Genomic DNA, 15,278 nt, shown 5'->3' with positions numbered 1-15,278 from the left:
ATCCCAATGGATGACAAGTGAATTCTTTCTGGAGTATGTGGCTTTAGGTAGATAAGTGGAGTTCAGACAAAGGCTCTCCCTGTGTGTGCTATATTTTCAGTGCTTTGAGCTCGAAGTAATCCGTGTACCAAAGTGGCACATTTTGGGGTGCCATTTCCTAAACTCCTTCAAGATTCTGGCATATAGTAAACAATTTAACAAGTAGTAGTTTCTATTCTCCAAAGACACTCAGCTTTAATATCTAAATCACCTTCGCATTTTCCTTATTTAACTCTACCCCACCTACCCAATCAATATCATCATTTCTAGTCTGTTTTCTGCCACAGCTTTTCCATTGGTGCCTTTCTTATCCTTTTCACTGCTACCACTGAGCTACTCCCTGTTACTTCACACAAAGAGTATTTTAATTATTTGTTAGGTAGTCTGCCTGTATACACATTGTGTCTTGAAAGACTAACCTTCTAAAAGATTATTGGCTATGTCCAGAGCCAACTTCATGGGTATACAACCTATTCAGTCACATAAGCCTCCACACTAATAAGAGCCCATGCTTTGTTCAATGTTCTGCTGTTCCCTGCTTATAATTTTTAATTAATGAACAAGAGTCACCACTTTTATTTTGCACTGAGCTCTTCAAATGATGTAGACAGCACAGCCACGCCACTTCCTTGTTTGGAATATTTACAGCACATTTTCATTGTTTATTAAACTGATGATATTCATTCCAGACCAGCATTCAGGGTCTTACACATGGCTATAATAGGCTTCTCCTGACTTGTCAACTATGGCACAGTTCAGTAGATCTTTATTCTTTCATTTCCTCATCCATACAATAAATCTTTATTAAATGTTATCATGGCCTACAAAGATGCACATACTATACTTTTCCCTGCCTCTAAAACTTTATCTCATAAATATCTCCCCTACCTAATTGCTGCAGCCAACAGGATCAATATTCACCTCCTGTATGCCTCTCCCCAAATGTTCTGCCTTCTTGCATTTGATCCTCCATTCCTTCAATTAACTCTTTCCCACATTTATATGCATGGCTTAGCATGTTCTCAGATTTCAAGTTCGTAAATACTATGTTAGCAGAAAGACCATTCTTTTTTTTTATACTTTAAGTTTTAGGGTACATGTGCACAACGTGCAGGTTAGTTACATATGTATACATGTGCCATGTTGGTGTGCTGCACCCATTAACTCATCATTTAACATTAGGTATATCTCCTAATGCTATCCCTCTCCCCTTCCCCCACCCCACAACAGGCCCCAGTGTGTGATGTTCCCCTTCCTGCATCCATGTGTTCTCAATGTTCAATTCCCACCTATGAGTGAGAACATGCAGTGTTTGGTTTTTTGTCCTTGCAATAGTTTGCTGAGAATGATGGTTTCCAGCTTCATCCATGTCCCTACAAAGGACATAAACTCATCCTTTTTTATGGCTGCATAGTATTCCATGGTGTATATGTGCCACATTTTCTTAATCCAGTCTATCATTGTTGGACATTTGGCTTGGTTCCAAGTCTTTCCTATTGTGAATAGTGCCGCAATAAACATACGTGTGCATGTGTCTTTATAGCAGCATGATTTATAATCCTTTGGGTATATACCCAGTAATGGGATTGCTGGGTCAAATGGTATTTCTAGTTCTAGATCCCTGAGGAATCGCCACACTGACTTCCACAATGGTTGAACTAGTTTACAGTCCCACCAACAGTGTAAAAGTGTTCCTATTTCTCCACATCCTCTCTAGCACCTGTTGTTTCCTAACTTTTTAATGATCAACATTCTAACTGGTGTGAGATGGTATCTCATTGTGGTTTTGATTTGCATTTCTCTGATGGCCAGTGATGATGAGCATTTTTTCATGTGTCTTTTGGCTGCATAAATGTCTTCTTTTGAGAAGTGTCTGTTCATATCCTTCGCCCACTTTTTGATGGTGTTGTTTATTTTTTCCTTGTAAATTTGTTTGAGTTCATTGTAGATTCTGGATATTAACCCTTTGTCAGATGAGTAGATTGCAAAAATTTTCTCCCATTCTGTAGGTTGCCTGTTCATTCCAAAGGTACTTTCTTTTGCTGTGCAGAAGCTCTTTAGTTTAATTAGATCCCATTTGTCAATTTTGGCTTTTGTTGCCATTGCTTTTGGTGTTTTAGACATGAAGTCCTTGCCCATGCCTATGTCCTGAATAGGATTGCCTAGGTTTTCTTCTAGGGTTTTTATGGTTTTAGGTCTAACATGTAAGTCTTTAATCCATCTTGAATTAATTTTTGTATAAGGTGTAAGGAAGGGATCCAGTTTCAGCTTTTTACATATGGCTAGCCAGTTTTCCCAGCACCATTTATGAAATAGGGAATCCTTTCCCCATTGCTTGTTTTTGTCAGGTTTGTCAAAGATCAGATGGTTGTAGATATGCGGCATTATTTCTGAGGGCTCTGCTCTGTTCCATTGACCTATATCTCTGTTTTGGTACCAGTACCATGCTGTTTTGGTTACTGTAGCCTTGTAATATAGTTTGAAGTCAGGTAGCGTGATGCCTCTGGCTTTGTTCTTTTGGCTTGGGATTGACTTAGCAATGCGGGCTCTTTTTTGGTTCCATACAAACTTTAAAGTAGTTTTTTCCAATTCTGTGAAGAAGTCATTGGTAGCTTCATGGGGATGGCATTGAATCTACAAATGACCTTGGGCAGTATGGCCATTTTCATGATATTGATTCTTCCTACCCATGAGCATGGAATGTTCTTCCATTTGTTTGTATCCTCTTTTATTTCATTGAGCAGTGGTTTATAGTTCTCCTTGAAGAGGTCCTTCACATCCCTTGTGAGTTGGATTGCTAGGTATTTTATTCTCTTTGAAGCAATTGTGAATGGGAGTTCACTGATGATTTGGCTCTCTGTTTGTCTGTTATTGGTGTATAAGAATGCTCGTGATTTTTGCACATTGATTTCGTATCCTGAGACTTTGCTGAAGTTGCCTCTCAGCTTGAGGAGATTTTGGGCTGAGATGATGGGGTTTTCTAAATATACAATTATGTCATCTGCAAAAAGGGACAATTTGACTTCCTCTTTTCCTAATTGAATACCCTTTATTTCCTTCTCCTGCGTAATTGCCCTGGCCAGAACTTCCAACACTATGTTGAATAGGAGTGGTGAGAGAGGGCATCCCTGTCTTGTGCCAGTTTTCAAAGGGAATGCTTCCAGTTTTTGCCCATTCAGGATGATATTGGCTGTGGGTTTGTCATAGATAGCTCTTATTATTTTGAGATACGTCCCATCAATACCTAGTTTATTGAGAGTTTTTAGCATGAAGTGCTGTTGAATTTTGTCAAAGGCCTTTTCTGCATCTATCGAGATAATCATGTGGTTTTTGTCTTTGGTTTCCCTATGATGGATTACGTTTATTGATTTGCATATCTTGAACCAGCCTTGCATCCCAAGGATGAAGCCCACTTGATCATGGTGGATAAGCTTTTTGATGTGCTGCTGGATTCAGTTTGCCAGTGTTTTATTGAGGATTTTTGCATCGATGTTCATCAGGGATATTGGTCTAAAATTCTCTTTTTTTGTTGTGTCTCTGCCAGGCTTTGGTATCAGGATGATGCTGGCCTCATAAAATGAGGGAGGGAGGATTCCCTCTTTTTCTGTTGATTGAAATCGTTTCAGAAGGAATGGTACCAGCTCCTGTTTGTACCTCTGGTAGAATTCGGCTGTGAATCCATCTGGTCCTGGACTTTTTGTGGTTGGTAAGCTATTAATTATTGCCTCAATTTCAGAGCCTGTTATTGGAGAAAGACCATTCCTAACCCCTGTATATAAAGCTGGTGGTCCTTGTTATTCTATGTAACACACTGTTTATTTACTTCTTAATAATATAACAAAAATTATCACAAAAATAATAAAGGCAAGGTTCTAGGTGCTTTCCATACGTTAGCACAGGTACTCCACAGAACTCCATGAGATCAGCACTATTCCTTCATGGCACTAGCATAATGTGCACTCATTTTGTGTTTATTCCCTTATTTGGTCACTTTACATATGGTGAGCTCAATAAGAGCAGTGACTATGTCATCTTGGTTCACTGTTGCATCCCCCCATACCTTAGTAATAAATCAATAACTTCTTATTAAATAAATGATTGCCTACTCCGTACAGTGCCCTGATTTTTTATGTTGTGCATTTTCCAAGTGATAAACAAAACCTGGGTATTCTTCTCTTTCCTAACTATGTTTGTGGTTTACTAGTGCTTTTACTCATACTCTTCCCTCAGACATTCCCTTCTGTTAAATTCCTATACATCTAACAAAACTCATTTTGGATAGCATCTTCATAAATCTTCTTCCATTCCCTCTCCCGTCCCTCCCTGATCCTTGCTTATCTCTCTTCCTGAATTTTCTTGGCATATCATATGTCTCTTATGATGCCTATACATTGCTTTCCATTATAACTATTTTTGTACTTTTCTTTAAATCAATGACAAAGAGCAAACCTTGCTCATCTTTGTATTTAGCACAGCATGAACTATAATGTTCTACCCATATTAGATACTTGATACATATTTATTATTACATGTTTATTAATTATATTAAAATAATATAAATATTTCCACCAATGTCTACATTTTGAAGAGACCTGGGAAGTCATCTCCAAATCTCAAATAATCCTAAATCATCATCATGCAACAATGTATCTAACTATATTCTAATTATACTATAATCTACCTGAGAAGTAGAGATTTATGTGAATGTAATTAAGAAGTTTGCTTTTCTTTCTCTTTTCCATTTTGAAAAATCTGTACTGACATACCTTTTCTTTTTTTATTTTATTTTCTTCCCCCAAGATGGAATCTTCCTCTGTTGCCCAGACTGGGGTGTAGTGGTGTCATCTCAGCTCACTGCAACCTCCACCTCCTGGGTTCAAGCAATTCTCCTGCCTCAGCCTCCCGAGTAGCTGGGACTACAGGTGTGCGCCATTATGCCAGGCTAATTTTTGTACTTTTAGTAGAGACAGAGTTTCATCATGTTGGCCAGGCTGGTCTCGAACTCCTGACCTCGTGATTTGCCTGCCTCAGCCTCCCAAAGTGCTGGGATTACAAGCGTGAGCCACCGCACCCAGCTGACATACCTTTTCTCAAGGGTTTCCAGAAACAAATTTAGTTACTAATATAAGAATAGCATATGAACCAGCAAGGCAGAGTGAATGAGCATGGAATTTCAAACCAGATACATCCAGGTTTGTAAACATCACCCAACAGTACCTGAGAAAAGTTTGGCACATTACGTTATCTATCCATTCTCAAGTTTTCACATCTAGACATATGAAGAACATACCTCAGGGAGCTGTTGTAAGGGTTAAAGGCAAAAATATAAACCAATATATTTGTCATTAGATATTAAATTTTTTAAATTAAAATATTTTAAAATATTGAAATATTGAGGCCTGCCATTATATTTATTTCCTCTCTTCTTCCCAAAAATGATAGTAAATTATTTTTTGAGTTGGAAACCCCCAAGAGCAAATAGAATGGGAGTAGAGTCATCAGCAGATTTGAAATTTCAAGACAGAAAGTAAATAGAAAAGAATTGACAGAAGCTGAGGAGAGGAAATCATGGGATAAAATCTTCAAAACATGCATAGAAGAGAATAAGGTCAAGGGAAGAACGAGCTTACCCTATGGATCCTTGGAGAAGCTCTAGATTCAGAATGGAAAGGGATGATAGACTGCAATGGGGGGAATGAGCAACGGGCCAATCCCCTGCAAGTTGTGAAGAAAGATGTTGCTGACCTTTAAATCTCTTTAGTTGCCAAATCATCGATTCATTTCTCTCTTTGACTAAAGATATTTTGGGACACACAAGACTCTAACACTTCTTCTTTGGAAGTTACTTGAGAAAGCACCCAACAAAACTAGTAAGTGAAATACGAGAAGCCAACATAGGATTCTGGAAACAAGAGGCAAACCAGAATAGCAGTGAAGGAAAGAACCAAGATGACAGCTGGCAGTGACCAGTCTGGACAAGAGGAAAGCAGCAGACTCTGGGAGGAAGATCTGCCAAAAAGGGACCAAGGAGATCATATGGTAAGACTGACAACTTGGAACAACTTGGGGATATAAAAAAGGCACAAAATAATAGAAGAAAACTCAATTATGAAAAATCAAGCATTATAAAATAAAACTATGTTTGAAATATAAAACCACAGTGAATCCAAATTCTGAAAGGAAATCAATGAGTTTTAAGAAAAATGGAGTGGATTTTAAGCAAGACCCAGAATGAACAAGCAGCTGAGAGCATTAAGTTTTAGTGGGAAAAAAAACAAAAACAAAAACCTTAGTTCTTTCCCTAATAAGAAATCAGCAGGAAAACCAGCACAGGGTTCCAGGGCAGTAGAGACTGTAAAAGTAGACACAGTCTGAATATGGGGCAAATGCTAATGTGAAATGATTTGCAGAAGGAAAGAAAAACCCATTTGAACAATTGTCTTCGAGTGAAACAGAGTTATCAAACCCTAGAGAAAGACAACAAATCCTAGCACACAGCTTGGCTCTCCAATGAGGAATACTCCATGGTCATAATATATAAATGTCAATTACCAGCCATCAACTTGAAGAAAAATATAGAAACATTAAATGTGATTACAGGACAGACAGCAAATGTTTTCAAACTTGCTAATTTAAAAATAAAACTGGAGTGACAGAGGTACGAGGCAGAAGGAGGGAAGAAAAAGGAAATAAACAGGTAGGGGCCCTAATTTTCTCACTTGATGAACTAAGGAGTCAAGAAATACTGGCTGTAGGTAATGAAACAAGGTGTCAAGGTTATACAGGTTGACAACTGAGGAAACAAAATAGTATCATTAAGCAGGGGAGATAAACATGGGGGGATTAGAAAATGAGCCAAATCAGATGCGTTGTTACAGGAAATGGATAATGTCTGGAGTTGATAAGAACATAACTAAACTGTATGGGTACTGGAGGAAATCAGCTAGAACTATTGCCCCTGGGAACAGGCCTGGATAGGAATAGATGGGAATTGGTATATTCAGGAACATTTTTTTCATAATTAGCTCTTCTGTGGTATTTGAATTTTCATCCATGTGCTTGTATAACTTAGATAAAAGAATTAATATAAATTAATATAACTAATGAAGACACTGAAATCTGCTGTGTGGAGCCAAAGTTTCTTAGTAACAAAACTGAAATGATTTATAAAATAGTTTATATTGTTGAACATAACAACACACAAGCCAATTTGTAAGTATTTCCAATTTTCTTTAGAAATGTATTATTTAAATATTACTGTTTCTGCCCTGGGAGTTTATAATCTGAATAATATATAAAATGAAATTAATAGCCATAGTTCAGACAAGGAGGTTGTGTCTCAGGAGGTTCACGGTTTCTTGATTTTTTTTTTCTACTGTTCAATCTTGGCTTAACATCAGTCTTCAGTCTTTTTTTTTTTTTTTATGGGTTGTCACTGCAACAGACTCACAGAATAGCTATGTTTATAAAAGTACTAAAGGGAAGTTACCTGGTTACAAAAAGGAAAGGTAACTCTTCTAAACAAGTAATGTACAGAAAAGAATGCACAAAAGGGAGATTAAGAGACTCCAAAGGGAATTTTCTTTTAGGTGTCTGGCATAAGCAAAAGTAAAGATGATTTCTGTTATCAAACCGAACAGAGAACCATACCTAAGATTGTTTGAGAATTAAAAATTTAGTCTTACTGCTTTTCTTACCTCAGGTTTTATTTTCCTTTGTGGCTACAGCTACTGAAGCAAAGAGACTTTAGAAGCTTAAAATCTGTTTCTCCTTAGTTACTTCATACAGATTTTTTTTAAATAAAACATTGGACTTCTTCCCAAAAGCACTTTTTCATTTATTTCCGTAGTAAAGCATTCTTTATGTAAAGCCATTATAATTTATAATACTCTGATTTCTGTATATACATACACAATTTAAGCCCTGAGACAAATATATAGTAAACTGGCGCTATACACATATGTTCACGTGGATTTACCTCAGTAATTTATTTATTTCTCTCTTTCCACCTCAGTAATTTAAACAAAAGCATTTGGAGTTCCAATTTTCATGGCATGTAAATCAGCCCTTCATTTCTTGTCGTGCATATATTCCTACAACTAAAGTCAGAATCACAGTTGAATTTTAAAATCCATGATTTTTCTCACTAAGCGAACTTGTCCCATTTTATCAGAGATAATTTGGCCATCTCTCTGGATTTGAACTTCCTTCCTAGTCTTTCTTAACAGAAACCATTCTATATAAGGATCTAGCCATTCAATTGGTATTATCAGCAGGTAAGATTGAGCAGGCTGGAGCTCCCACACAAACCGTGAGTAACTCATCAAAATGTAACCAGATGGACTTGTCCTTAACTACTGCTCATAAAATCTGCAAACTCTCATGATGTTCAATAATCTTATGCTTTTTGTTAGACATTTTTTTTTTAGTGTAGAGCTTTTTTGTTGACTGTGTTTACAAGAAATACAATTGCACTGAATGATAAAATGGTATCAACTTTTAGAAAAATCCCCAAAGTACATGTATGAGAAATGAATGGGAATTGACACCTGTCATCATAAATAGAAAAGTGTACCGGCAGAGGCTGAGCAATTATTTTAGTAAAACGGTGCCAAACTCTTATTCTTATGTGGGAATCATCACTTTAACATTTTATAGATAGCATTTTATTGTAAATTGTATTTTCTATGTCAGCACAATTTGGGATTCTTAATTTTTATCTTAAGCAATTTTTCTTCATAGTATAGTATAGTGACTAGCAGGAAAATAATATCCATTTCATTTTGAAATTATCTATTCTTTTAATTAAGCATATCTACCTTAAATAGCATATCTTTGGCAAAGATATCTTTAGTTCAAGTCAGCTTAGCAAATGTTTATTCTGTAGTTACTGAAAATCAGAACTGTATTAAACATGGAAGTTACAAACATAAAAGCAAAGAAATGCAAGAAAGTTGTGAAATTTTTTTTCTCATACACTGATTGGTATTTAAGAGTGAAGACTTTCAGGAGAACAATTTGGGGGCTATGTCTTTGTGACCATAATACTGTTAGATCCAGCAATTCCACAAGTTTATCTTAAGATAAATGCACAAAGTATTCATTATATGGCACATTTATATTTCCCTTTTAAATTTAAATGCCAACATACTATTTTTTATTTCACTCCTCTCTTCTCTTTGGGGTCATATATGTAACATGGCTGTAAAACAGAAATTTACTGAGGCGCAGAGTAGGTGAGAGGGTTAAGAGAGCCCCTCAGAGGATTGCTGGGGAGAAATTCTGAAACTCTCTGTAAAGAGAAAAAAAAGGTCACAGGAGAAAGTAGAAAAATAACACTATCACAAGAAAACAGAAAAAGATCCTCCTTCTCCCCATAACAGATGAGCTGTAGGATTCACAGTATATAAGGATCACATGGCTCTATGGCTTCCATGTCTGCATTGCAGTGTGCAGGTTACTAAATTACATAAAATACAACAGCTCCAGAGATCACAGCATAAACATTAAAAAGAAATGCTGTAGTTTGCAGCAAATCCAAAAGACTCTCCCACAAATTCAAGCCTAGTAATCAAATTTTAAGAAAGGAGTTGGCATCTTTCTATATCTGCCAGAGAGCAATTTCTTTTCATATTAGGTATAATACTATGAAACTTATAAGAGCACCTATCCATGTATTTCAGATATTCACAGGAATGTTGGGTGGGGTTCAGAAGAGTAATGGAAGAACAGCAGCAGGAGGGGCAATAAGAGGATCAGGGGATAGAAATAAGCCAATCTGAGAAGCTGATTATGTTTGTGAAGACCCAGAAGATTATATACTAACTAAAAAAAGGTAGAGTTTACTATGTGTAAATTACACTTCAGTGAACACCAGTGCCAGCATATGCCTCCCTGAAGTTCAAAGACAGGCACATGCCACCCACCACAGCCACCACTTGAGCACAAGAACAGGTCCACCTGACATCACCATCTCCAGAAAAACTTCACCACAGCCTCCACTGACAACAGGACCCTCAGCCACTCAGGAAACCACAGACACCACTGATGCTGTTTATAGCTAAAGAAATCATATGGAGACTACATAACTGCATGTATCCAGAATCAAAGCCAAAGTACCCTGTCCAACTAACACCATCGACACATCCTCAGGAAAAAGTCCTCCCCTGTGAAAGCTAATTTTAAAAACTTGAAGAAGACACTGTTACACCAAATGCAAAATTATCAATGCAAGGGCATAAGCAGCATGAACAAGCAAGGAAATATGACACCTCCAAAGAAGCATAACAATTCTATAGCAACAGCTTCCAATAAAAAAGGAGTTGAAATAGCTTTTGTTGAAAGCTTCAGCAAAACAGTAGATTAAGCAAAAGAAAGAATTTTACAACTTGAAAACACTTCTTTTGAAATAATCCAGTCATACAAAAATAAAAGAAAAAAAATTTCCAAATAAGCAGTCTATATGACATATAGGACATCATAAATTACCAAATATTCAATGTTTTGGTGTCCCAGAAGTTAAAGATAAAACAAAAAGGGTAAAAAACCTATTTCACAAAATAATAGCAGATACAAGAAACTCAGAGAACTTCAAATGGATACAATTCAAAAAGGTCTTATCCATAGTATATTATAGTAAAACTCTCAAAAGACAGAGAGTTCTAAAAACAGCAAGAGAAAGTGTCTAGTCACTTACAAGGGAACCCCTATCAAACTAACAGTGGAGTTCCCAGCAGACACTTCATAAGCCTGAAGAAGGAAAAATAAATGCCAGCCAAGGATACAATATCCAGCAAAATTATCCTTCATAAGTGAAGGTGACATAACATGTTTCCTGGACAAACTGAAGCTGAAGGAATTCATCACCATTAGAACAGTCCAACAAATGTTTAAGGGAGCCCTACATACAAAAGCAAAAGGATGATATCTACCATCATGAAAACACATGAAAGTATAAAAATCATTGGTAGAGACAACACACAAATAAGGAAGAGAAGGATTCGAATGTTACTACTATAGAAAACCACCAAAAAACAGTGACAAACATGAGAGAGAAAAAAAGGAAGAAAGAATATACAAAACAACCAGAAATTAAATTACTAAAATGATAGAAATAAGCCCTCACATATCAATAATAATCTTGAATATGAGTGAATTAAACTTTTTATTTAAACGATATAGATTGGCTGAATGGATTTAAAAAATATAATCTAACTATGCTCCCTACAACAAGTACACCTTACTCATAAAGACACAGAGACTGAGATCAAGGGATGTAAAAAGATATTCCATGCAAATGAAAACAAAAAAAGACCAAAAGTAGCTATGAATATATTAGATAAAACAGTCTTTAGGTCATAAATTGTAAAAATAAACAAAGAAGGTAATTATTAATATGTAATGATAAAGGGGTTAATTCAGCAAGAGGATATGATAATTCTAAACATATATGCAAACACCACCAGAGCACCTAGATATGTAAAATAAATATTATTAGACCTAAAGGGAAAGACAGACTCCAACACATTCTTTGAAAGTTTGGTAAAATTAAGCAATGAAGCCATCCAGTCCTGGACTTTTCTTCGTTTGGAGACTTTTTGCTACTAATTCAATCTCATTAATTATTATTGTTCTGTTCAGGTTTTCTTTTTTTTTCCTGATTCAATCTTGTAGGGGATTTTAATGACCCACTCTCAGCATTAGATAGATCATCTAGATGAAAGACTGACAAAGAAACGTTGAATCTAAACTGCACATTAGGCCAAATGGACCTAAAAAACATTTAGAGAACATTTTACCCAACAATGACAGAATACACACTCTTATCATTGCCACATGAAACATATGTTATGTCACATAATAAGTCTCAACAAATTTTCAAAAACTGAAATCTTATCAAGTACCTCAAGTATCTCAAACCACAATGGAATCAAACTATAAGTCAATAAAAAAGAGGAACTTCAGAAACTACAAATACATGAAAACATGCTCCTAACCACTGGATTAGGGAGGAAATTTAAAAATTTATTAAAAATAAATGAAAATAAAAACACAACATTACAAAAGCTTATAAGATACAACAAAAGCAGTGCTAACAGGGAAGTCTGGAACAATACAATAAATGCCAACATCGAAACAGTAGATTTCAAAGAAACAATCTAGCAATGTACTTCAATGAACTATAAAAGCAAAAACAAAACAAACCCAAAATTCATACAAATAAATAAATAATAAAGATAAAAGCAGAACTAAACAAAGTAGAGATGGAAAAAAATACAAAGAATCAACAAAACAAAAATGTGGTTTTTTGAAATGATAAACAAAATACATAAATTGCTAGCTAGACTAAAAAATGAGAAAATCCAAATAAACAAAATTAGAAATGAAAAAGGAGACTTACAACTGATAACCACAGAAATAAAAAAGATCATCAGAGACATTTATGAACAGCTATAAACTAACAAACTGGAAAACCTAGAGGAAATGAATAAATTCATAGAAACATAAACCTTTAGAGGAATTTTTAGGGCATCCTGTAATTTTTAGGGCATCCATCAACCTGATGTTGTTACAACTCCTCTATCCCTCTGTAGTTTATCATTTTAAAAAATCACTCTTATTTTCTATTTTTCCTTCTTTGAGCCATAGTTACAATTTCTTCTTCACTTTCTTTTTCTAATAAAAGTATTATTCTTTTCATTCATCCCTCCCCATTACCCTTGGCAACTTATCCTTTATAGTAGAATATTTCAATTCTTTGAGGAAAGTTCATTGTAGATACCAAAGAGTTAAGAATGAAATGCCATTTGCTGTATCAATTTGATCTGAAACACAAGGATAATGTTCCCAGCTGTGGCATCTGGGTCCTTGGAAATTTCATCAGACAGTGCCAGCCGTTATTGTAGAGTTCTGGGCTTGTCGTGAGGATTAAGCTGTTCCGCAGCTGCCACCTCGATGCAGTATAGTACAAGTTGAATTTCAATTTTCCTCTGAATAATACCTATTTTTCTCCCTATTTATATTTTGTTAAACTATCTAGGAGATTTGGTTTTCGATAGAGTCTGCATTCCAACACTTGCTTTCAGAGGGGTGAGAACATGCACCATATTTATACTTTTGATAGGATTTCAACATGAATATAATTTCCTTTGCAAAAAAGTAAAATGAAGTTTCTAGTGCTTTTGTTCTAAGCATTTTTGTTTATTTTGTTAAGCGCTTTATCAGCAGTATGAAAATGGACTAATACAGAAAATTGGTAACAAGAGAGTGAGCCATTGCTAAAAAGATACCCGAAAATGTGGAAGCAACTTTGGAACTGGGTAACAGGCAGAGGTTGAAACAGTTTGGCGGGCTCAGAAGAAGACAGGAAAATGTCTTTCAACCCAAGTGCAAGTATGATTTTTTAATAAAAATAGTCACATGAAATCTAAAATGAGTGCATTCCTTTGTTAAATAATTTTTTTAAATGCACAAGTTACTTAAGTAACTTTTCTAATCTGTTGTTACTGCCAGCACATAAAATAGAAAGTGTTTCTTAATAGAGTATTTGGTGAGTGCTCTCTTTATCTCTTTCATGAATTCATTTGCTGACTACAGTTGTTAAATTGCTAACTAACCATCAGCGTCAAAAGGATTGATCTAGTGTATTCATTCTCCACTTAATTCTAATGTTCTTTAAGCAGCCTCATTCCTTTTAAGAGCTCAAAATGAGACATACTATAGAATCATAGATTTTGAAACTGTGATGAAACTTAGAAATTATTTGGTGTTTCCATTTATTTTTACAGACAATCAAACTGAGAGCCAGTAAAATTAAATATTATGCCCAAAGTCATCACACAAATCATTAGTGGCAGCATCAAGCCCAGAATGCACTCCTTCTAAGTCCTAGCCTAGTACACTTCCTACAGTCCTACATTGTCTCACCCTAGTCTAAGTCCATAGTCCAAGATTCTTAGTTCTCTGCTGTCTGAAACCAACCTTTTACCTGGCCCACTCTCTCTTCCTATCTATTACTTTTTCAAGATGCTTATCTCACCAGACCTTTCTCTCCCTCTATTCTGTTTCTGCCTCTTAGTTTCCAGTTCTCCTAAGTGATTCCAAGAGAACTCTACAGACACAGTGGGCTACCTTTAACCTTCTGTGGAGAGTGATTTCCTGTCATTAAAAAGCTGAAACAACAACAAACCGATGTCTATCTACTAATGATGAAAAAACACACATATGGGAGCCAGAATATTCAGAAATCATGAGAAAACTCAGTTTATGACCCTGTGCATCTTGAGATGTAGGACCTCTTAAAACAAAGAAGGATGCTACCTATGTAGAATTTCTCATATCATTCTGCATCTCACCGTAGAAATATGAATAATTTCTCACTGTATTCAGCACTCTCCCACCCTAGAAATGTTGTATATAAAGAATTTCCCATGGTATTCTGCATTCTACTCAGTCTTTTCTTTAAATATCACCTTGAGTCTTCTCTTTTAAACAGATTATTATTATCCATTGCCTATTCAATGGGTTTGACCAGTTCTATACTTCACTCACTTTCCTACTCAGATGTATCACCTATAATTTCCATTTCTGCAGGCCTGTTAATTGAAATTTTTACCTTTGATTTGGAAGGTGATTAACTGTTTCATTAGGTAGCTGTTCTCAGAGAACAAGACAAAAATATTTCTCTGCAGATTAGGTGTTACTGAAGAAATAATTAGGTCAGAATCCATCGAAGTGTGGCACAGCCCCACAAACTGAACATGTGCATGCTGATAAATTCGTTGTGTCAAGAGATTTGAGATCGATAACATCCACACTCAGCTCCCTTAGGCATTTAGTTGTGAAGTACAGACTATGTACTTCCGTACAAGAGAAGAATATTTCTTGAGATGTTTATAAACAAGGTAGTTAGCAACCAAAAGGCAACCTGAAAAATAATCCTGCTGAAAATAGCAGAGTAATGTCTTTGCCAATAAGACTGGTAAAGGAGAGGGCAAATACTGATAAAAGTAAAAATCTCCAAAAGTAAGTGCACAAAAAAGGTTTCCTATTGACTCCACTTTAAAGTGCACATAGTGTAAATTAAAGAAATAAGAAAGAATATTTTGCATTTGGGTAAACAAGATTATGTTAATGGGTAAAAATAGTCAACATGTACTAAGGTTTAATCACATGGCATTGGATAAAAGTTAAACTTTGCATTATCCTTGTTTGCTTAAAGTTTGTAATCTAAACAATAG

This window comes from Homo sapiens, chromosome 6 (assembly GCF_000001405.40).
Source record: "Homo sapiens chromosome 6, GRCh38.p14 Primary Assembly".
Lineage (NCBI taxonomy): Eukaryota > Metazoa > Chordata > Mammalia > Primates > Hominidae > Homo > Homo sapiens.
Note: the sequence above shows the minus strand (reverse complement) of the source record.